The 26,787-nt window shown below is 39.3% G+C and overlaps 1 protein-coding gene and 2 pseudogenes across 2 annotated transcripts, besides 3 other annotated features; 1 reads left to right on the top strand and 2 right to left on the bottom strand.

Annotated features, from left to right (window-relative positions):
• Window positions 5,953–6,452: an enhancer, noted in NCBI's record as "H3K4me1 hESC enhancer chr19:44810593-44811092 (GRCh37/hg19 assembly coordinates)". NCBI's record gives its function as "activates a minimal SCP1, AML or CMV promoter by ChIP-STARR-seq in primed H9 embryonic stem cells {active_cell/tissue: H9 hESC(primed)}" and the evidence as "EXISTENCE:reporter gene assay evidence [ECO:0000049][PMID:30033119]".
• Window positions 6,453–6,954: an enhancer, noted in NCBI's record as "H3K4me1 hESC enhancer chr19:44810091-44810592 (GRCh37/hg19 assembly coordinates)". NCBI's record gives its function as "activates a minimal SCP1, AML or CMV promoter by ChIP-STARR-seq in primed H9 embryonic stem cells {active_cell/tissue: H9 hESC(primed)}" and the evidence as "EXISTENCE:reporter gene assay evidence [ECO:0000049][PMID:30033119]".
• Window positions 7,531–8,084: an enhancer, noted in NCBI's record as "NANOG-H3K27ac hESC enhancer chr19:44808961-44809514 (GRCh37/hg19 assembly coordinates)". NCBI's record gives its function as "activates a minimal SCP1, AML or CMV promoter by ChIP-STARR-seq in primed H9 embryonic stem cells {active_cell/tissue: H9 hESC(primed)}" and the evidence as "EXISTENCE:reporter gene assay evidence [ECO:0000049][PMID:30033119]".
• Window positions 7,867–26,544, top strand: ZNF235 (zinc finger protein 235). 2 transcript variants are annotated; one of them, NM_001411071.1, is made up of 5 exons: window positions 7,867–7,921; window positions 9,440–9,502; window positions 13,160–13,286; window positions 13,989–14,072; window positions 23,696–26,544. In NM_001411071.1, the coding sequence occupies exons 2-5, from the start codon at window positions 9,488–9,490 to the stop codon at window positions 25,672–25,674; spliced, it is 2,205 nt and encodes a 734-aa protein (NP_001398000.1). In that variant the 5' UTR covers window positions 7,867–7,921; window positions 9,440–9,487; the 3' UTR covers window positions 25,675–26,544. The 2 variants fall into 2 exon arrangements, with proteins under 2 accessions (NP_001398000.1, NP_004225.3); NM_004234.4 differs by having other exon boundaries at window positions 13,989–14,084.
• On the bottom strand, window positions 15,471–15,796 carry NDUFA3P1 (NADH:ubiquinone oxidoreductase subunit A3 pseudogene 1; annotated as a pseudogene).
• Window positions 21,962–22,254, bottom strand: MRPS15P2 (mitochondrial ribosomal protein S15 pseudogene 2; annotated as a pseudogene).
• Window positions 26,545–26,787: the final 243 nt, after the last annotated feature.

The raw sequence follows: 26,787 nt of genomic DNA, 5'->3' as shown, positions 1-26,787 counted from the left end.
ATGGTCACACCTCATAGGAGGGCATGAATGAGACGTTTATTGCAGCTTTGTTGTAATAGTGGAAAAATTGAAAACAATTTCTGTGTCTTTCATATAAACTGTATAAGCACATTTGCAAAATATTATATAGCATGTAAGATGAATGATGTTCTTTAAGTCTTACAAGGACACACATTCTACACATTTAAATACATATAAAAGAGTCCAGAATAAATAAATAAAATACAGAATAAAGAGTCCAGAATAAATAAAAATACAATAAAACAAACAAACAAAAAAGAGTCCATAAGAATAGATACTAAACTGATAATGGTCTCTACCTTAAAGACAGGGAATGGAGAAGAGTACTGGGCAGCTGTGGTGGTCGAAGGAGATTTTAGCTGTTATCTTTAGTATTATTTAAAAGAAAATAGTAGATTATGATTTTATAATTTAAAAATATTAATACTAATAATATCATTACTACTAATAGGGGAAATTGAGTTAACAAATACCCAGTGATATCATAGAAGTGGAAAATGCAATTTCTCAATCCAGAATACGTGGAAGAAGTATAGCTTAGCTAAGCGTGGTACCAAGAGAAATATGCACTGACTGGGTGATGCACCAAAGATTAGCAGCCTTTAGAGAAAGGAGCCTGCTGCCCAAAGAGAAGCATTGTTGCGGGTTGCATTCCCTGGGAAGTAGACTCTGAAATGGACAGTAGCACTCAGGTGGTGCAAATGTATTAGAAATATCAAGAAAAGTATAATTTGAAGTGGAGCCTGAAGATGTGACAAAATGGCTACAATTTCATGATAAAACTTGAAAGGATAAGGAGTTGTTTCTTAAGGATGAACAAAGAAAGTGGTTTCATGAAATGGAATCTACTTTTAGTGAAGATGCTGTGACCACTGTTAAAATGACAACAAAGGATTTCGAATATGATGTAAACCTAGGTGATAAAGCAGTGGCAGGGTTTGAGAAGACTGACTCCAATTTTGAGAGATGTTCTACTTTGGGTAAAATGCTATCAAACACCGTCACATGCTACAGAGAAATCTTTCATGAAAGGAAGAGTCCATCACGGGGGCAAACTTCATTGTTGTCTTATTTTAAGAAATTTCCACAGCCACCCCAGCCTTCAGCAACTACCACCCTGATCAGTCAGCAGCCATAAACATCAAGGGAAGACCTTCCTCCAGATAAAAGATTACACAACTCACAGAAGGCTCAAATGATTGTTAGCATTTTTTATCAACAAAGTATTTTTAAATTAAGGTATCTACATTGCTTTTTTTTTTTTTTTTTTTTTTTTTTGAGACAGAGTCTCACTCTGTCACCCAGGCTGGCACGATCTTGGCTCCCTGCAACCTCCGCCTCCCGGGTTCACGCCATTCTCCTGCCTCAGCCTCCCGAGTAGCTGGGACTATAGGCGCCTGCCACCACGCCCGGCTAATTTTTTTGTATTTTTAGTAGAGACGGGGTTTCACCGTGTTAGCCAGGATGGTCTCTATCTCCTGACCTCGTGATCCACCCGTCTTGGCCTCCCAAAGTGCTGGGATTACAGGCATGAGCCACTAGACATAATGCTATTACACAGGTAAATGGTATGTTTACAGTATAGTATAAACATAACTTTTATGTGCAATAAGAAACCAAAAAATTCATGTGACTCACTTTATTGAGATACTCATTTTATTGCAGTGGTCTGGACCCAAACCTGCAATATCTCCCAGGTATGCACATATTAAGAAAACTTTGATCAAGTAAGGTGGTCATGCCTGTAATCCTCTGCACTTTGGAAGGCTGAGGTGGGAGGATTAAGATTGCTTGAGGCTGAGAGTTAGAGACCAGCCTAGGCCACATAGGAAGACCTCATTTCTACCAAAAAAAAAAGTTAAAAAATGATCCAGGCATGGTGGTACATGCCTGTAGTCCTAGCTACTCAAGAGGCTGAAGCAGGAGGATTACTTGAGCCCAGGAGTTTAAAATTACAGTGAGCTATGATGATTTCACCAGTGCGCTCCAAGGTAGGCAACAGAATGAGACCCTGTCTCTAAACAAAATACTTTCTGCCCTGAGGTTCGTAAAGGTATTAGCCCATATTATTAAGTGGTGTAATTACTTCTGAAACTAATTACTCAGTGTTAGGTCAAACTTCACAGTTCAAGTGCACAGTGCTCAGAAGACTTTTTTCATTCCAAACTGCAAGTTCAAGGGTTTCCATGCCACCCTCACTTCTGACCAGCTGACCACTTCTGATCACTAACCTCTCAGGTTTAACAATTTACTGAAACAACTCACAGAACCCAGGAAAATTATATTTATTAACTACAGCTTTATTATTAAAAAAAAAAAGGATACAAATCAAAACCAACCAAAGGTAGAAACGCATAGGACAAGGTCTGGGAGGGTTCCAGATGAAAAATTCCATGGTTCTTTCTCTTGGGGTCAGGACACATTACCCTCCCAGCACATAGCTGTATGAGAATACTTGCCAACCATAGAAGTCTATCCAAGCTTGTGTTCATAGATTTTATTGGGGCTTTATTACGTAGGTATGACTGATTGAACTGACATGTAACTCAGTGTCTAGCCCCCATCCTCTACACAGGCTGGTGTTATTTGGCTCATAGTCCCAAACTTCAAATCACATGATCGATCTGTCTGGTGTAACTAGCACCTATCTGAAGTAATCTCACTAGCATAACTTATCCAGAGGCCCATCATGTGTCACCTCTTTAGCACAATCTGTCAGGTATAGTGTGAGTGGCCCACCGTGAATAACAAAGAGCTTCTATAATTCAGGATATTTTAAGAGTTTAGATGCCACCTCCCAGGAACTAGGGACAGAGGCCAGAAAAGTTGGAGAAATCCGGAATGTGTAATATCATAACAACTGACCTAATTCCTTCAACAGGTCAGGGTCTGAAACAAAGGAGTGATGTAGTAGTGTTCAATAATAAATACACCTAAGTAGATAAATAAAATGAATGGGCTAGATATTGATTTGACAAACCAGTCATGAGATATTTTTAGGTAATCAGGAAAATTTTAATAGAGATTGGGTATGTAAAGGAAAATAAACATCTCAGGATCCTCCAAACTTAGGCAAGTGTGGAGATTAAGCCCTGGAGTTCAGTCATTGCAATACCCTCTTCCAAACGAACAGCTGTGCATTAGCCAGATCCCCATGAAAGGTGAAAAGCCTCAGGTATTTGGGAAGAGCTTTCCCCATAGATTACTCATAAGTAAAATTTTTGCTGACCTCTCATAAACAGGCACATGCCAATTGTTGCTTTAGTTCTACAATCTAAGTCTAGCTCCTAAAACTCCACACTGATCATGAAAGAGCCTTTGCAAAAATGATGACAGTGGAGAAATCTGACATAAGTGACTCCATCTTGGTTCTCACCCCACAAGCTGTACTTGCTCATTCCTGTGCATAGGCCAAGCTAACTATGGGAAGAATTCAGTTTAGAGTTTAACTTTAAAACAAAGATGGGGCCGGGCGCGGTGGCTCACGCCTGTAATCCCAGCACTTTGGGAGGCCGAGGCGGGCGGATCACGAGGTCAGGAGATCGAGACCATCCCGGCTAAAACGGTGAAACCCCGTCTCTACTAAAAATACAAAAAATTAGCCGGGCGTAGTGGCGGGCGCCTGTAGTCCCAGCTACTTTGGGAGGCTGAGGCAGGAGAATGGCGTGAACCCGGGAGGCGGAGCTTGCAGTGAGCCGAGATCCCGCCACTGCACTCCAGCCTGGGCGACAGAGCGAGACTCCGTCTGAAAAAAAAAAAAAAAAAAAACAAAGATGGTAAAAGTCCCCTCCTGGAACTAACCCCTTCCTTGCTTAGGGACTGAAACTGCCTTCGTAAAGCTAACAAATTGTCCACAAGGAGTCACAAAGCTGTAAGTCACAAGATTTGTAACCTCCTTAATTGCTCCTATAGATAACGTCACTACTGTAAAACCTAGAACTGGTGCCTGAGGTATTTTTCAAACCCTGCATTCTGATGGACCAGATGATGTCACCCAGACCAGTATCCCATACCAAGAAACTGACCTCCACCCTGGAACTAACTCAGTGCACGAAGACAGCTTCGACCCCTTATGATTTCATTCCCAACTAAATCAATCAGTATTCCTCATTCCCTAGCCCCTGCCCACCAAACTATCCTTGAAAAATCCCAGCCTTTGAATTCTCAGGGAAACAGATTTGAGATATCTCCCATTCTTCTATTTGGCTGGCCCTGCAATTATTAAACTATTTATTTGCTTCAAAACCTGCTGTCCTCAGCGCACTGGCTTTTCTAGGCAGTAAGAAGAACCCTCGGTGATTACAATAATGTTGATTACAAGTTTATCTTCCCAGGTGCAGAACAAAGTCAAGACTCATTCCTCCACCTACTCTCCTCTACCTCCACATACATCTACATAATTGACTCTTCTTTTACTCCCTTTTCCTTTTAAGACATTCACCTTATTTATGTAAAAATGTAGATTTATTGGGGACTAACTAAAGTCTCACAAGAATGTAACTATTCGCCTAACTGCATACCTACCCCTCTTCCTATATCCCTTCCCCACCCCTTTAAGGAAATTGACAAATACTAAACCTCCCGAAAACCTCTTTGGAAAGATAGTCACAGATGTGTCTGTGGCTTTGTTTTTCCCCGGCAGGTCCTACAGCTGGCTTAGTAAACCTCAATGACTGAGACTTATGCCTGAGTCACTCATTTTGGTTGTCAAGTATTAGGAAATACTAAGAAATAACTGGTATTTTGTTCAGTGTGATAATAGTATTGTGGTTTTGAAAGAAAATATTTTTATTTTAAAATATATTTAGCAAAGCATTTTGAGGTGAAAAGACATAATTACAGGAATTTGCTTTAGAATTGTAACTAAAAAAACAGTGATAGATGAATTAAATAGGCTAAACAGTGTTAATTATTGAATTTGGGATATCAGTATATAGAGTTCATTTTACTATTCTCTCTACTTCTATATATGTTTGAAAACTTTGATAATAAAATGTAACAAACTACAGCTGACCTTTGAACAAAACAGGTTTGAACTCTGCAGTTCCACTTATACATACATTGTATTCTGCTTTTGCCATCCCTGACACAGCAAGACCAACCCCTTCTCTTCCTTGTTCTCCTCAGCCTATTCAACTCAGTGAAGATGATGAGGACGAAGATCTTTGTGATGATCTGCTTAATAAATAGCAAAAAATACTTTCTCTTCCTTATGATTTTCTTAATAACATTTTATTTTCTCTAGCTTTATTGTAAGAATACAGTCCAACCAAGGCGGGCAGATCACCTGAGGTCGGGAGTTCGAGACCAGCCTGACCAACATGGAGAAACCCCGTCTCTAAAAAAAAAAAAAAAATACAAAATTAGCTGAGCATGATAGTTTATGCCTGTAATCCCAGCTACTCGGGAGGCTGAGGCAGGAGAATTGCTTGAACCCGGGAGGTGCCATTACACTCCAGCCTGTGCAACAAGAGCAAGACTCTGTCTCAAAAAACAAAACAAAAAACATATATATATATACACATATATATGTTAATTGTTTATGTTATTGGTAAGGCTTCTGGTCAACAGGTTATTGGTAGTTAAGTAAGTTAAGTTTTGGGGGAGTCAAAACTTACAGGTAGATTTTTCAACTGCCCAGGGGTCAGCTCCCCTAACCCTTGTGTTTTTCAATGGTCACCTGTATATTTATACCTGCCTAGGAGAAAAATCACGGCTTCTTTGTTTCATCTAGTTTATTCAACCATAAGACACTTAATTTCATTTATGTCAGGATCAGGATCAAAGTATGTAATGAAATATTTGAAGCCGAACACAAATTAGAAAACAATTCAAGATTTTACACATGCCCATATTACAACGTTGTCTTAGATTCCCGGCCAATGGAGCTGCTTTTGTTTGCCATAACAGTACACATTTAAAATAAATGAAGTTCAAGATATTTCTCTGGCTTAATATTTATATTGCCTTTTTGTGGGTTCTTAGTATATTAGAACGAATAGCACATTAAACAAAACACTGTCATGAGCCCTTAGGTACCTTGAGGAATAATGGAGGGAAAAGAGTCAAACACTTTACTCCCTTCTCTCCTTGTCACCGACCCCTAAATATACACAACTTGGACACTAAGGACTAAAACTCCATCCTCTTTCCCTGCCCCTCACTGATACGGAAGAGGGGAATGGAAGTGCTGGAGGGGAGAAGGGTGTGGTCCCTGACTAGGGCTCTACCCCCAGGCCTGTGGCCACGGACCTAGGTGAGGACAGGCATTCCTGCCTTTGTGCCCAAATATTGCATTTCCCAAGACCACCCTGGCCCACCACGCCCCCATCCTGTGCCTATAAAAACCCTGATACCCTAGCAGGCAGAGACACAAGCTGCTGGACGTTGAGAGGAGAGCATTGGCGGACACACAAACAGCTGGCTGTCGAGAGGCTGTCGAGGGGAGCGGGTCGGCAAAAGAGCACACTGAAGAGACCGGCAGGCCAGCAGGCCATTAACCGGTGGAATAACGCAGTTTGGCCTGGGTAGTCGGAGGAGCGCCCAGGCCGCTGAGAGGCTGACTCCAGGCGAAAACCATCTCCCTTCTGGCTCCCCCTTCTGCTGAGAGCTACTTACAAATCGTTCTCCAAGGTTTCTCCAATCCTTGCACTCTTTCTCCAAGCCTATGTGTGATGCGATTCTTCTGGTACACCAAGGCAAGAACCTCTGGGATACAGAAAGCCCTCTCTTGCTTGCGATAAGTCAGGGGTCTAATTGAGCTAACACAAGCCTCCTACAGATGGCTGAACTAAAAAAGCACCCTATAACACACGCCCACTGGGGCTTCAGGAGCTGTAAACATTCACCCCTAGACACTGCCGTGGGGTTGGAGCCCTACAACCTGCCCGTGTGCATGCTCCCCTAGAGGTTTGAGCGGCTGGGCACGAAGAAGCGAGCCACACCCCATCACATGCCCTGGGAGAGGGAGAAGTGAACTTTTCCCGTTTCATCACAATTTACTTTCGGCACTAACATGATTGTTCAGCTGTCTTCATCAGCAGGCCTTTATTCCAGGAGATTCCTGCCCAAGCAAACTGTTTAATTGTTCATTATGGGAACTTCCACAGAGACCCATCAAATTTTCAATCTCTTCCAAAGAAAGTGTCAATAGATTGCAATTTAAGATTCTTTGCTTCAAAAATCCTTGCTATATCCACCAATCCTGGACTGTAGTATCATGATCATTATGCAATACTAATAAAATCCCTTGCATTGAAAGACCCGCCTTAAACATCCAGTTCTCAATCAGTTCCAACCTTGCCTTGACACTTTGCTCTGTGAAGGTGCCAACGCTCCGTCGAAGTGTTGTTCTCCATTACTGCAATCAACAATAAATTCTGTTTTTTGTCTTATCAACAGGTTGAGTTGATGATATTTGGGGAGCCGGCATTTGACACAAGTTTGAGATCTGGTGTTCCTTAACGTTCAGCGTCCATCGGAGCTCAGCCTAAGTCACTTTTACGCTTCCCATTTTAGCCTACCCTCTGCTTCTGCGAAAAATTTTGGTTTCTAACTTATTTTAATAATACAAGCTGCACTTTTCATTTTTATATGTCATCACTTTAAAAATTTTACAATTATTTTCTCATGAGCTTTTAAAAATGAATAAAACAAAAACGAATCTCACAGTAGTAGCACCAGAGAAGTGGCTCAAACCCAACCGGCTTGAGTCAAAACAAAGCCCAGCTGGTGGGAAGCGCTGCCCTTGGAGCATTCTGGGAACTGTAGTCCAGGAGTGAGAGAACTCTGAGACGCTTCCGCTTAGGAATTCTGGGAAGTGGAGTCCACGAACCGTGGGCACTCGGAGGCACTTCCGCTCCAGGAAGGCGAGGTCGGATCTGAGATATCTCCCAGGGAGGTGAGTCAGCTCCGGGTCTCCAAGACTTCTCCGAGCCCTCTTTGCCTAGGCGTGGGGCCAGCAATGAACCCGTCCTTGGCTTGGGGAAGAGAAGCCGCGGCCAGCGCTGGAGGGCGGGGTTGGGAGGCTGCGGGAGTTTGCGTCCCCTCGGCAGAACCTCTTGCGTGGGAGGCGGGCTCGCGTCGTCCTTCGAGGTTGAGGGTCTGCTGCCCTAGCCGTCCTCACGCACCTACCAGCCAGTCCTGCCTGCTCCTCGCAGTAAAATATTGGGCAAGTTACTTAATCTCTCCTTGTCTCAGTTTCCTCGTGCCTGTAAAGGGTTAGTGCGTTCCCAGTGATGTTCTTGTGAGAATTAAATGAGGTTTTATAGAAATAAGCTTAAAACCAGTGCATAGGAAAATGTTGGATGCCACCGTTAATTCTGTTATAATACTGAAAAAGACGCCTGTTGTTTGGAAACTCCTCTGAGTCTAGGAGATCCAGCTACGGAGCCGCTGTCCCTTCTCTAATCCTTGCCTGATGTGGGGCCGTTCCTGGATTCTTGGACTTTTCTAGCCTCTTGTTTAGGAGACAGGAATTAGTTCCAGCGGAGCCTGGGGAATGTCCTGTGTGTTTTATCTCAGATAAGCGATCGTCATTACGGATTTGCAGAGTGCCAGAGGTGTCCTGAGGCCCTAATAAATGTTCAGTATAATGTGGTTATAACCAATAATCCCGTGTGGTTAACTTAAGTGTAACACCATTTCTTAGAGAGTTTTAGGTTTTTATTAGTCATTGCTTTCATGCATGTGGAAAAAGAGACTTTCTTGAGGCTCCTCCAGCTTAGTAACATTTGCAAGTAATTACATCTGTTGGAGGAAAAAAAAACCTGTGGCAGTTTAACTATCATTACCAACGGAACTAATTATGTTAGACAACCAATCACAGTTACAGACTTTTCTGAGGGTAATGGTAACTCACAGGACAGAGCAATTATTTTTGAGTTCTGGGTTTCTTAAAAGATTCATTTTCTAGAAAGCATACTCAAAAGGGCAGTTTTATGAAGCATAATAGCACTTGCTTGTCAGAAGCTGCAGGAAATAGAGAATACAGGCATTATTATTGTCCCCATTCACAGGTAACTGAATTAAGGCACAGAGAGATTAATAATTCGCTTAAGGTTTATACTGCTGATCAGTTGAAAATAGGTAGAAATGCCAAAATTTGAAGCCAGGCATTTTGGCTCTGTTACATTCCCCTGCCTGTCTGTGTCTCATTTCCTTGGAAACTAAAGTTCAGAAGGAGTACACAGAGAGCTGTATTTGATTTAGGTCTGTTAATATGAAATGTTCATGAACAAAAGCAGCTGGTTGAGGGGGCCGAGGGGTAGCTGGGAGCTAGCTCCCGTTCTCCTCACTAAGCCGTGTGCAACTGTGTCTGCCTAGAGACAGGGGGACCTTTCTCTGAAGTGTCACATAAAAGTGCCATGGTGACTAATGCCATCCCTAACCTATCTCATGATGCCTTTCCCTCCCTCAGGTTCACTTCCCCGGAACTCTGCCTTTTCCCAGAAGGAGGAGGGGAAAAATGACCAAGTTCCAGGTAAGTTTGGTTTGCCTTTGTGTTTCTTAAAATGACATCTCATTTCACAAAGATTGGACACATTTTTCCTGTTTGGGAACAGTAAAAGGGAACGAAAGGCACTTGGAATGTTGTTATATGCCAGGTTGTTGCCTTTTATTTCAATATAATAGTATAAAAATTAACAGAGAGATATATATATATCTGTTAATTTCTAAAATATATTTCTATATAATTATATATTTATATATACGTATATATTTTATATTTATATACAAATATATATGTATATATTTATAAGAAATATACGTATATTTGTATATATGTATTATATATACAAATATATACGTATATTTTATATAAATGTATACAATATATACGTATATTTTATATAAATATATACGTATATATGTATATATTTATATATAAATATATACATATATACGTATATATTTATATATACAAATATGTATATATAAATACATACAAATATATACGTATATATTTATATACAAATATGTATATATAAACACATACAAATATATATAAGTATATATTTACTCATATATAAGTATATAGTTATATATATATAAGTATATATATACTCATATATAAGTATATAGTTTTATATATATATATATATGTAAATATAAATCTCTATATATATTTAGAGACAGAGTCTCACCCTGTTTCCCAGGCTGGAGTGCAGTGGCTCACTGCAGCCTGGGCCTGGGCTCAAGAGATCCTCCCACCTTAGCCTCTTGAGCAGGTGGGACCACGGGCACACACCAGCACAACCAGCTAATTATTTTTAGTAGAGATGGGGTGTTCCTGTGTTTCCCAGGCTGGTCTTGAACTTCTGGGCTTAAGAGATCCTCCTGCCGTGGCCTAACAGATATATTTTTTAAATGGAAAACAACTCTCACATTACAAATATGTTTACAAATCATTTCCCACATTCCTTTTCATTTGCACTCAACATATATAATCATACTTTAGGTACAATTTCGAATTTTTTAAATTTAATTTTATATCACCTGCTTTTTAAATGATCACATCATTTTCCATCATTTACTTGTTTTTATTTTTCCTCATTCTCCATGTTTATGTAATCTATGAATTTTGCCATTTTAAGGACATTGACAATAGCAGTTTTTCCCCATGTAACTTCTCTTCCCAAATAAGGATTCTGAGAATTCTACCATTTTTTTAATCTTTAAAGTTTTAGACTCATTTTCTCATACACAGCACCTCATTTTATGGAGAGAATAAAGTATAGCTTAGTGCAGTAGCATCTGACTGATGCCAAACTCAGAGAAAGTAATTTTAGTTTCAAACGAGCTAGATTTCTTTCTTTAATTCTAAGTAAAACCTTGTATTATAGTTAAGTATCTGTTTTATTCATTAACATGTTATTATATTTTAAAGATGCACATACTTAGTTTAAAAGTCTTATAGCACTAGGAGATTCACCAGGAATTTGCACCATGGAACAGCTTTGTGAGGATGTAGATGGCCTTATCTGTATTTTAAACATAAAGAGACAGGTGTGAACCTTTAGACACTTATTGAAGTCCACTCAATGCCCAGCTGACGTTAAAGCTTCCAGTGCCTAAGCCAGAAGTTTCAGGTGTTCCATTTGGGTGAAGGCCAGGCACAGTGGCTCACCTGTAATCCCAGCACTTTGGGGCTGAGGTGGATCACTTGAGGTCAGGAGTTCGAGATCAGCCTGGCCAACATGGTGAAAGCCTGTCTCTACTAAAAATACAAAAATTAGCTGGGCGTGGTGGCGCACACCTGTAAGCCCAGCTACTCATGTAGATGAGGCAGGAAAATTGCTTGAACCTGGGAGGCAGAAGTTGCAGTGAGCCAAGATCACACCACTACACTCCAGCCTGGGTGACAGAGTGAGACTGTCTCAAAAAAGAAAAAAAAAAAAGAGACTATTCAGGGACTTGAGGCTATGCTACACATGTATGTGTCCCTGGCATGTCCTGGTGGATGAAGGGCTCCAGAAATCACATTGCTCTTCACCAGATTCCCTTTCTCAGTGCATGGCTCTTTGCCACATGTGTCATCGAGTTGTTTGGTACATAGATGTTCAGAACTCCAGCCAAAACAAATGCAGGGATGTGCAGTGTCTTCAGATAAAAAATGTTAATTTCCATACAGAAAAACACCATATACAAACTTTATGAGACAAGTAGGAAACAGGTGCGGGGTAGGAATTTATATATTCTAGAAAATGACTTAATATTCTTAATAGTAATGTTACTGATACATGAAAAATCCCAGTAGGATTAAGGAAAGGCAATATGTGAAGAAAAGTAATATCAGATCATCTTTAAAAAAATTAAATAGCTGTTTATATCACTCACCAAATTACTCAAGATTTAAAAAAAAAAATGTCCAGTTTTGGCCAGAGTATGGAGAATCGGGAATACTTATAATCTCTTACGGGAAGAGTTAATTGAGAAAATTAACATTATACCAGCAAAACAAAGGTATATATATTTTTTTACAATGTAATTACCACTTCTTGGAACTTACCTTTTTTTTTTTTTTTTTTTTGAGACGGAGTCTCGCTCTGTCATTCAGGCTGGAGTGCAGTGACATGATCTTGGCTCACTGCAACCTCCGCCTGCCGGGTTCAAGTGATTCTCCTGCCTCAGCCCCCCGAGTAGCTGGGATTACAGATGTGTGCCATCATGCCCAACTAATTTTTGTATTTTTAGTAGAGACAGGGTTTCACCATGTTTGTCGGGTTGGTCTTGAACTCCTGACCTCAAGTGATCTGCCCGTCTCGACCTCTCAAAGTGCTGGGATTACAGAAGTGAGCCATTGCCCCCAGCTGGAACTTATCTTAAGGAAATAACCATACGAGCTGGCTAAGATCTATGTAAAAATATGTTTTCTTGTGGCATTGTCATTTTTAAATTTAAAATGATCAAATGTGCATTATTTAGAATGGTTAAATATATTGTAGATCATGTTTATGGACTATCATGCAGCTATGAATGGGATGAAATAGATGATGGTGATGATAATAAGAGTTAATGATCAACATTTATTGAGTACTTACTGTATGTCACACACTGTCCTAAGTTCTTATATGTATTCACTCATTTAATCCCTTCAAGGACCCTATGATATAGGTCCTCTTATACAGATGTGGAAATTGAGGTTTTGTGACCAGCGTCACAAAACTAGCAATGGATAGACCCTTGGAATGTGAACTAAGGCAGTCAAACTCCAGAGCCTGTACTCTTAACCTTGACCCTAAATGCTGCTGCAGTTGACCAAGACAGCATGTTCCTGAGAACCCAGAGAGTGAACTGCGTACTTGTGCCAGAGCTTTATGAAGGCCTGTTGGATTGACAAAATAGTGGTAGTACTATCAAACACTGTTGGGAAGAAATTAATGCAAAATTTCTTATCAAATTTGGTGCTATCAGTCAAATGGTAAAATGTGTGTATGCCATGATTTAACAATGACAGTTCTAGGAATTTAACTATATAAAGGGCACCACGTTACATGTACAAGGTGTTTTCCTTCTTCCCCCTAGCATTTTTGGTGTGATTGTGGAAGGGGAAGAATAGTAACTCTACAGAAAGAGTTGCTTAGGTGCCAGTGGCCATTGGGTGTGAGATTGAGGTTACATGTGCTTGATGTTCTAGGAGGCAGTGACATTCAAGGATGTGGCTGTGGCCTTCACTGAGGAGGAGCTGGGGCTGCTGGACTCTGCCCAGAGGAAGCTGTACCGAGATGTGATGCTGGAGAACTTTAGGAACCTGGTTTCAGTGGGTAAGGACAGGCACCCTCTGTAATTCAGCAGGGTTTCTCAACCTCCATGCCATTGATGTTTTGGGCCAGATAATTCTGTGTTGTATCAGGCTATCCTGTGTATTTTGGGATGTTTAGTGGCATCCCTGGCCTCTGTCCCCTTGTTCAAGGCTTTGGGACTGCTCAGAGACTAGAGTTTTTCTATCTCTTTAGAGCATAGAGACAAGATGTTTCTGACCTTTGTTCCAAGACAGATGATTTTCTTTTAGACATGAACTATAAAAGAACAGTTGAGCTTGGCTCCTCCTGATTCCTTATTTCGTATATCTTTTTTAAACTTGTGGGTCATGATCCATTGGTGGGTCAGTAAATTAGTAAGTTACATAAGCATTTTTGTAATAAAATAGAGTAACAATATCAGAGCCCCTTAGCCAGAATGGTGCACATTGTGGCAATAACTGCTGCTGCTTGCCGTAAGGGATGTGATGAAAACAGATATTGATTAGAAATAGGTCCTTTAACCTTTTATTTCAATAGTTTACACAGGGTAATGTATTTCCAGTGATAGTAAATGTATTTCTTATAATGTGTCATGACAAAAAAAAATGTTCCCTAAACATTGCATGCTGGGGCAGGGAGGAGACTTACATCATGTGATTGGAACCAGATTTTTTCAGTACTCTTTGCCTTTAACATTTTCACTTAAATACTATCTTTTTATAGGACATCAGTCCTTCAAACCAGATATGATATCCCAGTTGGAGAGGGAAGAAAAGCTTTGGATGAAGGAGCTTCAAACCCAAAGAGGTAAGCATTCAGGTGAGTACTGTGCAGCCGGAATCGTAGTTAACAGCTGTTATTTTTCCTTTATTCAGGATAATTTCTTCTCCACTCAGCTACCTGAGAGACTTTTTTAAAAAACATCTGTCATGGTTGGGCGCGATGGCTCAAGCCTCTAATCCCAGCACTTTGGGAGGCCTGGCAGGTGGATCACTTGAGGTCAGGAGTTCAAGACCAGCCTGGGGTCTTTAACATAGCAAAACCCTGTCTCTACAAAATGTAAAAAAATTAGCTAGATGTAGGTGTGCCTGTAGTCCCAGCTACTCAGGAGGCTGAGATGGGGGGATTGCTTGAACCTGGGAGGCGTGGGTTGCAGTGAGCTGAGATCTGCTACTGCATTGCAACCTGGGTGATAGAGCGAGACTCTGTCTCAGGAAAAAAAAAAAAAGAATGAAAACATCTGTCACATCATGTCACTCTCTGCTTCAGATCCTCCACTGGCTTCCCATTTCATGAGTAAAATCCAGTGTATTTAAGGAGCTTGTAAGGCTGTATAATGTTTGCCTATTCACCTAGCTTTACCATTCTGTTTTTCCCCCTCCCTTTGTCTCTGCCACCCTCACTTGTTCCTCAGATATGACATCTGCATCACAGCCTTTTACTTTCTATTCTCTGGCTGGAATGCTGTTTTTTCTTAAACCTTTGTCTTTCTGATTGATTGATTGATTGAGATAGGGTCTCACTCTGTTGCCCAGGCTGGAGTACAATGACACAGTCTCGGCTCACTGCAGTCTCCACCTCCTGTGCTCAAGCAATCCTCCCACCTCAGCCTTCTGAGTAGCTGGAACTACAGGTGTGCACCACCACACCCAGCTAATTTTTATATTTTTTGTACAGACGAGGTTTCCCCATGTTGCCCAGGCTGCTCTTGAACTCCTGGACTCAAGCAATCTGCCCACCTCAGCCTCCCCAAAATGCTGGGATTATAGATGTGAGCCACTGCGCCCAGCCCCTCTTCCTTATTTCATTCATGCTTCTGCTCAGAAATCATTTCATGAGAGGCTTTCTTAAAATACCATCTTCCAGCTGGGCGCGGTGGCTCATGCCTGTAATCCCAGCACTTTGGGAGGACAAGGTGGGCGGATCACCTGAGGTCGGGAGTTCGAGACCAGCCTGACCAACATGGAGAAACCCTGTCTCTACTAAAAATACAAAATTAGCTGGGCGTGGTGGCACATGCCTGTAATCCCAGCTACTCGGGAGGCTGAGGCAGGAGAATCGCTTGAACCCAGGAGGCAGAGGTTGCAGTGAGCCGAAATCGCACCATTGCACTCCAGCCTGGACAACAAAAGCGAAACTCTGTCTCAAAAAAAAAGGTTAGATTCCTTTCTTCTGTCAGTATTGGGTTTAATTTGGTTTTGTTTTTTGCTTTTCACATTTTTATTGGGAGCCACTGGGGAGGGTCCTCCTCCCTGTCAGTGGAGATGCTCACAGTTTCTTCAGCCACTCCAGGGTTGGGCCCTAGGAGTCCTGGGGGTGGCTGGACACATAAGGCATGCTCCCATCATCTCAGACAGGCATTGGGTAATTGTAGGGTGTGGCCTGGTTGATCATGATGGCATACTTGGTGTAGGGGCTGAGTGGGGGCAGAATTATAGCATGGCCTGCAATGGTGAAGGACACAGCCAGCACTGGCTGCTTGGCCCAGGCATTCCTGAAGAAGGCAGCAAGTCTTGCAGCCATCTTGGTCTTGGTAATGGCGATGGCTTGTTACTTTTTTCATTTCCTTAAGGTATAAGGTTATGATGTTGATTTGAGACCTTTTTCCTTTTCATTGTAACCATTTATAGCTATAGATTTCCCCCTTAGCACTGTTTTTGCAGTGGATTCGTTTTCATTTATCCCAAGATATTTTCTAGTTTCCCCTGTGATTTCTTCTTTGATCTATTGGTTGTATGTGTATTGTTGAATTTTCACATATTTATGGAATTTTCAGGTTTTATTCTGCTATTCATTGCTAGTTTCATTTCATTTTGATCAGCAGAGATACTTTGTGTGATTTTAATATTTTTATATTTATTAAGGCTTTTTTGTAGTTTAACATATGGTGTATCCTAGAAAATGTTCTGTATGTACTTCAGAAAAATGTGTATTCTGCTGTTATTGGGTGGAGTGTTCTGTATAATCATAGTCTACGTGTATATATTTGTTAGGTCCATATACTTCAAAAATGTATAAAACATAGAAAATTGATTAATTCTAAAATTGCTTATGTCCTTTGTTAAGATATCATCTAATCCACCAAACTGAGGGAGATATGTGACAAAAATGACTTAGTAGGATGCCATTTGTAATCCCACCATTCAGTTCAGTTTTAACATTCATTTTACATCTTTTTCTGTTAATGAAAATTGACTGATAGTTTAAATGGATAATTTCTGCTTCTCCACCCTTCCCCCAACATACACATAATTTGGATGACCTATTTGTTTTCCTATGACTTTAAACTTTTTATTTTGAAAACTTAAAAAACATAGAAAAGTAAATAATGCCATAGACTCTGTATATCCATACTGTCTTAGCAGTTATCAACTTTCTGCTGTTCCTGTTTTATCTTTCCCTTTTATTTTTTGCTGGAGAATGTCATATCACCCATAGATTTATCAGTGTCTATCTACAACAGTAACTCCTTATTGTCACTTACTATCCATTTTATAATCAGTATGGGCTCATATGTATTTATTTATACTTCGTGTTATAATCCAGTATTGCATTGTTTATTTTGTTACCAAGTTATTTCTACTTTGACCACTTGGAGCTTTTTCAGGTTGCCTCCTGTGGTTGAAATCACCAGTGATTTCTAGAAATGCAAATTAAAACAATGGTGAGATATCATCTTATACCAGCCAGAATGGCTATTATTAGAATCTGTTATGGATCTCTGGAGATCTCAGGTAATGAACTCAAGATGGATTAAATAGCACCATTTATTCAATAGGATGTCCTTTCCCCAGTGTATGTTTTTTTCGACTTTATCAAAGATCAGTTGGCTGTAGGTATGTGACTTATTTCTGGGTTCTCTTTTCTATTCCATTGATCTGTGTATCTATTTTTATATCAGTACGATGCTGTTTTGGTTACTATAGCCATGTAGTGTAATTTGAAGTCAGGTAATGTAATGCCTCCAGCTTTGTTATTTGCTTAGGATTGCTTTGTCTATTCAGGCTCTTTTTTGGTTCCATATGAATTTTAGAATTGTTTTTCCTCATTCTGCAAAAAATGACATTAGTATTTAGATAGCCATTGCATTGAATTTGTAGATTGCTTTGGGCAGTATGGTCTTTTTAACAATATTGATTCTGCCGATCCATGAACATGGGATGTTTTTCCATTTTTTTTATGTCATCTACAACTTCTTTCATTATTGTTTCATAATTTTCCTTGGTTAGATCTTTCCCTTCCTTGGTTAAATACATTCCTAGGTATTTTAATTTTTTTGTAGATACTATAAATTGGATTGTGTTCTTGATTTGGTTTTTAGCCTGATCATTATTGTCGTATAGAAATGCTACTGACTTTTGTATATTGATTTTTTTTAATCCTGAAACTTTATTGAAGTCATTTGTCAAATCTAGGATTCTTTTGGAGGAGTCTTTAGGGATTTGTAGGTATAAGATCAGATTGTCAGAAAACAGAGATATTAAATGACTTACTCTTTTCCAATTTAGATTGGTTTTCTGTCTTTCTCTTGCCTGATTACTTTGGCTAGGACTTCCAGTGGTACGTGAAATAGGAGTGGTGAAAGTGGGCAATCCTTGTTTTATTCCAGTTCTTAGGGGGAATGCTTTCAGCTTTTCCCCATTCAGTATGTTACCTATGGGTTGTCATATATGGCTTTTATTATTTTGAAATATGTTTCTTCTGTGCCTAGTTTGTCAAAGGTTTTTATCATGAGAGGATGCTGAATTTTGTCAAATGGTTTTTATATATCTGTTGAGATGATCATGTGGTTTTTGTTTTTAATTCTGTTTATAGGCTGAATCACATTTATTGGTTTGTGTATGTTGAACCATTCTCGCATCCTTGGAATAAAACCCACTCGATCATGGTGGCTTATCTTTTTGATGTGCTATTAGATTTGGTTTGGGGGGTTTTGTGGGGGGATTTGTGTTTGTTTTTGGAGGATTTTTGCATCTACATTCATCAGGGATATTGCTCTGTAGTTTTCTTTTTTTGTTGTGTCTTTATCTGACTTTGGTATCAGAGCAAGAGTGGCTTTCTAGAATGAGTTAGGGAGGATTCTCTCCTCTTAGATTTTTTGAAAGAGTTTTAGTAGAATTGGTACCAGTTCTTTGTACCTTTTGTGGAATTCCAGTGTACCTTTGTCTGGTCCTGGGCTTTTTTGTTCTTGGGAGGTTTTGCATTGCTGATTCAATCTCACTGCTCATTACTGGTCTGTTTAGGATTTCTGTTTCCTCCTGGCTCAATCTTGGGAGCCAGATGGGCTCAATCTTGGGAGGTTGTATGTTTCCAGGAATTCATTTTCTCTAGAATTTCTAGTTTTCAAGTGTATTGTTCATAAGAGTGTCTGATCATGTTTTTTATTTCTATGGTATTAGTTGTAATGTCTCATTCATTTCTGATTATGTTTATTTGGATCTTCTCTTTTCTTGGCTAGTCTTACTGGCAGTCTATCAATTTTATCTTTTCAGAGATAAAAACGAGCTTTTCGTTTCATTGATCCTTTGTATGGTTCCATGGTTCTCTATTTTATTTAGTTCTGCTGTGGTCTTTGTTATATCTTTCTTCTGCTGACTTTGGGTTTGGATTTTTCCTGTTTTTCTAGTTCCTGGAGGTGAGACACAGGTTGTTAATTTTTTATCTTTTTTTTTTTTTAGTGTAGACATTTAACACTATAAACTTCCCTCTTAGCACTGCTTTTGCTTTATCCCAGAGGTTTTGGTATATTGTATTTTCGTTTTCATTCATTTCAAGAAATTTTAAAATTTGTCTTGTCATTAACCCAAAGATTGTTTAGGATCATGTTTAATTTTCATGTATTTGTATAGTTTCTAGAGTTCTTCTTGGAATTGATTTCTAGTTTTATTCTGCTGAGGTGTGAGAAGATACTTGGTGTGATTTTGGTTTTTAAAAATGTATTGAGACTTTTTTTGTGACCTAACATATGTTCTATCTTGGAGAATGCTCCATGCACTAATCAGAAGAGTGTATATTCTGATGTTGGATAGAATGTTCTGTAAATGTCTGTTAGCTCCATTTGACCTAAAATTTAATTTAAGTCCAGTGTTTCTTTGTTGATTTTCTGTCTCAGTCTATCTAGTGGTGTCTGTGGGGTGTTGAGGTCCCCCACTGTTATTGTATTGCTGTGTATTTTTTTAGGTCTAATAATATTTGTTTTATGAATTTGGGTGCCCTGATGTTTGGTGTGTATATACTTAGGATTGTTATCTTATTTGTTTATTGATCACTTTATCATTATGTAATGACTTTGTCTTTTTTTACTGCTGTTGATTTAAAGTCTTTTTTTATCTGATATAAAAATAGCTACTCCTGCTCGTTTCTGGTTTCCATTTGCATGGAATATCTTTTTCTACCGCTTTACCTTCAGTCTGTGTCTTTATCGGTAAGATGAGTTATGTTGCCATTTGACTTATCTTCTTTCTTTGTGTAATTATTTTATAAGGCCTGCAAGTTTTATACTTTTGTGTCTTTTATCATGGCAAGTATCAACCTTTTGTTTTCATGGTTAGAACTCACTTGAGCATTCCCTGTAGACCTGGTCTAGTGGTGACAAACTCCCTAAGTATTTGTTTATTTGGGGAAGGCTTATTTTTCCTTCATTTATAGAGCTTATTCTAGTAGGATACAAATTTTTTTGTTTTTTGAAGCAACTTGAAAATAGAATCCAATCTCTTCTGGCTTGTAAGGTTTCTACAAGTTGAATTGTGTGATGGAGCTTCCTTTATAGGTGACTAAACACTTTTCTCTTGCTGATTTTAGGATTTTATCCTTCATATAAACCTTAGTCTGATGACTGTATGCTGTGGTGAGTTCCATCTTGCAATGTATTTTCGTGGAGTTCATTAGATCTCTTTTATCTGGATATCTAAAGCTCTTGCTAGATTAAGGAAGTTTTCCTCAATTATTTCCTTAACTAGGTTTCCAAACTTTTTACTTTTTCTTCTCCCTCAGGAATACCTATGATTCATAGGTTTGGTTGCTTTATGTAGTTTCATACTTCTTAGAAGCTTTGTTTTTTCTTCCTTATTCTTTTTTCTTTACTTTCGTCTGACTAGATTAATTCAAAAGACCTGTCTTGAAGTACCGAGATGCTTTCTTCTGCTTGTCTAGTCTATTGTAAAAGCTTTCAACTGTATTTTGTAATTTCTTCAATGATTTTTTCATTTCCAGAAGTTTTTATTTGTTTGGCTTTTTAAAAAAAAGATACCTATCTCTTTCTCTTTGGTAAATTTCTCATTCATATCCTGAATTGATTTTTTGTATTGCTTTTCAAATTTCTTTTGTATCTCATTGAGCTTCCTTAAAATCAGTATTTCAAATTATTTATCTGGCTCATTTTTTCCTTTATGATCTTTATTTCTTTTATGTTGTTTTTTTCCTGTCTTACTGCACTGACTAGAACTTCAGTAATGTTGAATAAAGGTTGTGAGAGTGGATATACTTGCCTTGTTCCTGATTTTCTGAGGGAAGCATTTAGGTCTAATTTTAGAATACTAAATCAGCCTTGCATTCTTGAGATAATCACTACTTTGTCTTGATTTATCCTTTTTATACATTGTTAGATTTGATTTGATCACATTTTGTTAAGAATTTTATAAATATGTTCATTAGGAATGTTAGTCTGTAGTTGCCTTTTCTTGGAATGTCATTGTCTTATTTTGGTGTTAGAATAATGCTGGCTTCCTAAAATGTGTTGAGAAGTATTTACACCTTTTCATTTTTCTGGAAGAGTTTGTCTAGCATTGGTATTGTTTCTTCCTTATATGTTTGGTAAAATTCATGGATGAAGCCCTATAAGCCTGAACTTTTGTTTGTGGAAATATTTGTAAGTATGAATTCTGTTTCTTTGGTAGATAAGGGCTATTCAGATTATCTGTATGTTCTCAAGTAAACTTATTTTGTGTCTTTCAAGAAATTTGTCCAGTTCATCTGCATTGTTGCATTTATTGCCATAAAGTTCATAAGTCCCTTATCCTTTTAATAATATATACAGGATCTATAGTGATGTCACCTCTCATCCTGATATTTGTAATTTGTATCTTCTTTCTGTTTTTATCATGAGTGCTAGAGTTTATTAATTTTATTGTTCTTTCCAAAGAACTAGCTATTTGTTTTCTTATTTTCTATTTATGCTTACTTTGTGTTTAATTTGTTCTTGTGTTTTTAGTTTCTATGACACATTTCTGCTTTATAAATTTTGCTCTAAGTAGAAATTTTGATATATTGGTTTTTTATTTTCACTCAATTTATAAAGTCTGTTTTGAATTATTTTTGATCCACAGTTTATTTAGAAGTATGTTATTTATTCTCTGAATATTTGAAGATTTTGCAGAGATGTTTCTGTTCATAATTTCTGATTTAAATCAGTTGTGGTTAGAATACCCTTTGTATGACTTGACTCCTTTTGCATCTGTTAGAACTTGTTTTATGGCCTAGAATATGGTCTGTCTTGGAGTATGTTCCATGTGCACCTGAAAATAACATTTTCTGCTCTTACTGGATAGAGTGTCCTAGAAAGACCAAGTAGTCAACTTGGTTGATAATATTGCTTCAAGCCTGTATCTTCACTTATTACCTACTTGTTTTTTGTTGTGTTTTGCTTTATTTTTTATATAATTTATTGTTTTTGTTTTGTTTTGTTTTCTGACTGCTGATGCTGCTGCAGCTAAGACCTTTTTTGTTTCTTCAGCTTTTGCACATTCTGGAAAACCTGAATTCACAGAGCCTTCTTAGTCAGAAGCGACGGTCAGTGGGCTGTTTGGTAATTCAGAGGGGAAAGGTGTCTTCAGTCCCCAGTTCCCTGCATGTCTTCCCAGAGTTGTCATAATAGGTTTTGTGGAGGTTTTTGAGCATCTTTTTCCTCTGGTTGATGCTTATCAGCAGATAGCATTTGTGGGCTTTGTCCTTTCAATATGTCAGCATGTGTTTTTCATAACTGCAGATCTTGGCCAGGTGCAGTGGCTCATGCCTGTAATCCCAGCATTTTGGGAGGCTGAGGTGGGAGGATCGCTTGAACCCAGGAGGTGGGAGAATCGCTTGAACCCAGGAGGCGGGGGTTGCAGTGAGCCGAGAACATGCCACTATACTCCAGCCTGAGTGGCAGAGCAAAACTCCATTTCAAAAAAACAAAACAAAACAAAACAAAACTGTGGGCCTTGATGTTCAAGTCGATAATTCCAGCCTCTGTGGAGCTGGTGTCCTCAGGGCTTGCCATGTCCTTTTTTATCAACTATTCTGGCTTAATTTTTGGCTTCTCCTGGTTGGCCATTTCCAAAGACAAGTGTCTTTTCCCAATGTCATCAACCCTCTCAATCCTGGGAAAGTTCTGGTAGTCTTTGAGCAGCGTATAAGGGGACAGGTCATCATCTTGGCTGGGCTGGACTGGTTTCTGGATGGCATATCCACAGGTGGCCTGGAGGAAGAAACTTGGAGGATACCAGCACCACTGGTTGGAAGGAAGCCTGGTGCTCCCTCCTTTTGGCTTCTCAAAAACTGGAGCTTGGGTCTCAGTGGAACTTAGCACCTTTCACACAGCCCTTGGCATGGTGACTTCTGACCCCCAAGGGGCCAGGGCAGCTGTCCCTTTCACAGCACGGACTCAGTTACATGAGTGCCACCACATATCTTCCTACTTGGTTTACTAGCTGTTGGAAAGGGGTATTGAAATCTCCAGCTATAAATATGGATTTGTCTATCAGTTATTTTGAGCATGTTTCTAGATGTGCAGGTTGTATAATGAGAGCCTATAATTGAGGCATATATTTTGCCTGATTTATGTAGTTGCTACTTACGATTCAGTTGCTGTAGCCAAAGAAGAGGTGACTTTTAATTTACCATTCTTATAGGCAAAGAAGTCAATTTTTCCTTTCTAAGTACTTACTGAGATATCATTTTGTTGTTCTGCAGTTGGCTGGTTTCTACCTCTTGTCCTATTCTTAGATCTGTAGTTCTGTGTTTCGAGAGGCAAATAAAATCCAGGAAAATCTGTGATGGTAAAGATAAGCTGAAAGTTTCCATCATGAACTAAAGCCTGATACCGAAGGAACTATGTGTAAAATTTGGAAACATCTGGACAAAGCATTCACTTTGGAGTTGTGTATACTGGAGAATACACACAGGCAGCAAGACTCATACTCAGAAAAGACCCAAGATACACCTTAACCATACCCTGGGCTGATCTCAAATTTTCTATCTTAAATATGGCTTTTTAAAACATTTGGTGTTCTCTTGGTTGCAGCTGCTTTTCAGAGTTCCTATAAATTTATTTCAGCCAGTCTAGTTGTTTTTTTGACGTTTCCATGGGGAAAATGAGAGCTTAGATCTTAATTCTCTACTTTGCTAATGTCAGTCTCTTGGTCCTTTATTCCTTATTCTCTCTATCCTTTCAGGAGACAGGAATCAAAATGAGATGGCAACTCTTCACAAAGCAGGATTAAGGTGCTTTTCACTGGGAGAGCTTTCATGCTGGCAAATCAAGAGACACATTGCGAGCAAATTAGCCAGAAGTCAAGACTCCATGATAAATATTGAAGGAAAGAGCTCTCAGTTCCCCAAGCACCATGATTCCCCCTGTCAAGTGGGAGCAGGAGAATCTATTCAAGCTTCTGTGGATGACAACTGTCTAGTGAATCACATAGGGGATCATTCCAGTATCATTGAAAATCAAGAATTTCCAACTGGGAAAGTTCCGAATTCTTGGAGTAAAATATATCTGAATGAGACACAGAATTATCAGAGAAGTTGTAAGCAGACTCAGATGAAAAACAAACTATGTATATTTGCTCCATATGTTGACATTTTCAGTTGTATTTCACACCACCATGATGATAATATAGTGCACAAAAGAGATAAAGTTCATAGCAATAGTGATTGTGGTAAAGATACCCTAAAGGTATCACCTCTTACCCAGCGTAGTATTCACACAGGACAGAAAACCTACCAGGGTAATGAATGTGAAGAAGCCTTCAATGATAGCTCCAGTCTTGAACTTCATAAACAGGTACACTTGGGAAAGAAGTCTCCAGCGTGTAGTACACATGAGAAGGACACCAGTTATAGCTCAGGTATTCCTGTTCAACAAAGTGTTCGTACTGGGAAAAAACGCTATTGGTGTCATGAATGTGGTAAAGGTTTCAGTCAGAGCTCAAATCTGCAAACTCATCAGAGAGTCCACACAGGGGAGAAACCCTATACATGCCACGAGTGTGGTAAGAGCTTTAATCAGAGCTCACATCTTTATGCTCATTTGCCTATTCACACAGGAGAGAAGCCCTATAGATGTGACAGTTGTGGGAAGGGCTTCAGTCGTAGCACAGATCTTAACATTCATTGCAGAGTTCACACTGGAGAGAAACCTTATAAATGTGAGGTGTGTGGGAAGGGCTTCACTCAGAGATCACATCTTCAGGCCCATGAAAGAATTCACACTGGAGAGAAACCATATAAATGTGGGGATTGTGGTAAACGCTTTAGTTGTAGCTCAAATCTTCATACCCATCAGAGAGTCCACACTGAAGAAAAACCATACAAATGTGATGAGTGTGGTAAGTGCTTTAGTTTGAGCTTTAATCTTCATAGTCATCAACGAGTCCACACAGGAGAAAAACCATATAAATGTGAAGAGTGTGGTAAGGGTTTTAGTTCAGCCTCAAGTTTCCAGAGCCATCAGAGGGTCCATACAGGAGAGAAACCATTTCGATGCAACGTGTGTGGGAAAGGCTTCAGTCAGAGTTCATACTTTCAAGCACATCAGAGAGTCCACACTGGAGAAAAACCATACAAATGTGAAGTGTGTGGGAAGCGCTTCAATTGGAGCTTGAATCTTCACAATCATCAGAGAGTCCACACCGGAGAGAAACCCTACAAATGTGAAGAGTGTGGTAAGGGTTTCAGTCAGGCTTCAAATCTTCAAGCCCATCAGAGCGTCCACACTGGGGAAAAACCATTCAAGTGTGATGCATGTCAGAAGCGATTCAGTCAGGCCTCACACCTTCAAGCCCATCAGAGAGTCCACACCGGAGAGAAACCATATAAATGTGACACTTGTGGTAAGGCCTTCAGCCAGAGGTCAAATCTTCAAGTCCATCAGATAATTCACACTGGAGAGAAACCATTTAAATGTGAGGAATGTGGGAAAGAATTCAGTTGGAGTGCTGGTCTCAGTGCCCATCAGAGGGTCCACACAGGAGAGAAACCCTATACGTGTCAGCAGTGTGGGAAGGGCTTCAGTCAGGCCTCACATTTTCACACACACCAGAGAGTCCACACTGGAGAGAGGCCTTACATATGTGATGTCTGTTGTAAGGGCTTCAGTCAGAGGTCACATCTCATCTACCATCAGAGAGTCCACACTGGAGGGAATCTGTAGAAATGAGAGGTGTGGTTCAGCCTTCAGTTAGAGCTCACATCTTTGTCTCCGTTGGGAAGTCCATGCTGATGATTGTGAAAAGTTCCTTTAAAACTAGAAGCTTCAAAGAATCTTGACAGGAAAGAAGTCTCTCAAATGCTGTGTTTTAGACTTGGTTAGGACATGAATTCTTTACAAACGTCATATTTCACAGATGCGAGAAAACTTTGTTCTGTAAATATGATCAGTGTTTATATCAGAGTACCAGGTGTCCCGGTTCTCAAGATGTAACACAGCAGAAAAGTCTTGTCGGAGTCTGCACAGGAGAGAGGCCTTCCTTTAACAAAAGTATGATTGACAGAAAAAATGGATGTCAACTAAAATGTAACCTCTATGTAAGGAGGTGTTTTTCACCACTCTATCTCTACCATGTAGAATTGTGCTTGGCTCATAATAGGGCCCAGCAATTACTGAAGAAAGTGAAGAAAATACCTATAATTAGGACAAATACTTGAAAATTCTAGTCTGTTTTCTACTCTAAATTTATATTAATTTATATTCAAAAGGAATCCTGCAAGTAGCCTTAATAACGTTAGTTTCAGTAAGTACTGAAAAGTATATAATACTGCCATCCATACTAACACAAATTTGGAAAAAAGACATGAATGGCTCCCATCCTTCAGCCTTAGTTCTTTGTACAGTGTATCATCAGTTGTGTACAGTATGATTTTTAGTGTCAGTTTATAGACTGAACAATACTGTTTTTATCTAATGTGACCCTGCAATTTACATGATTAGAATTTTTGGACACTAAGCTGTACTGTAACTCTGAAAGTGTTAAAAGTAGTTACTGATGACAAAAAGTTTCTTAGTAAACTTGAATTGTTAATACTTGGTTTCCTTTCATTATTTTCATTCAGGTTCAGGTCAAGTTGCTTTTCTATGTGTAGTCTTTCCTCCATGTAGGCCGCTTTAGAAGGAGCTTTGGCAGATTTCAGGCATGTTAATTTGTCACATTTATCCCCTTAAAAGGAAGTGGCAGGGCAAGAAACCTGTTGAGTCTTTATTGAAATTGTATCTTATTGTTTATTTATTTTGTTTAATAGAGCCTTGCAGTGTTGCCCAGGTTGGTCT

This window comes from Homo sapiens, chromosome 19 (genome assembly GCF_000001405.40).
Source record: "Homo sapiens chromosome 19, GRCh38.p14 Primary Assembly".
Taxonomy (NCBI): domain Eukaryota; kingdom Metazoa; phylum Chordata; class Mammalia; order Primates; family Hominidae; genus Homo; species Homo sapiens.
Note: the sequence above shows the minus strand (reverse complement) of the source record. Positions and strands in the feature narration are given on the sequence as shown.

Coding starts and splice junctions, on each gene's coding strand:
- ZNF235 (NM_004234.4), top strand. Junction 13,287..13,988: donor TAGGAACCTGGTTTCAGTGG/GTAAGGACAGGC, acceptor ATCTTTTTATAG/GACATCAGTCCTTCAAACCA. Junction 14,085..23,695: donor CCAAAGAGGTAAGCATTCAG/GTGAGTACTGTG, acceptor CTATCCTTTCAG/GAGACAGGAATCAAAATGAG.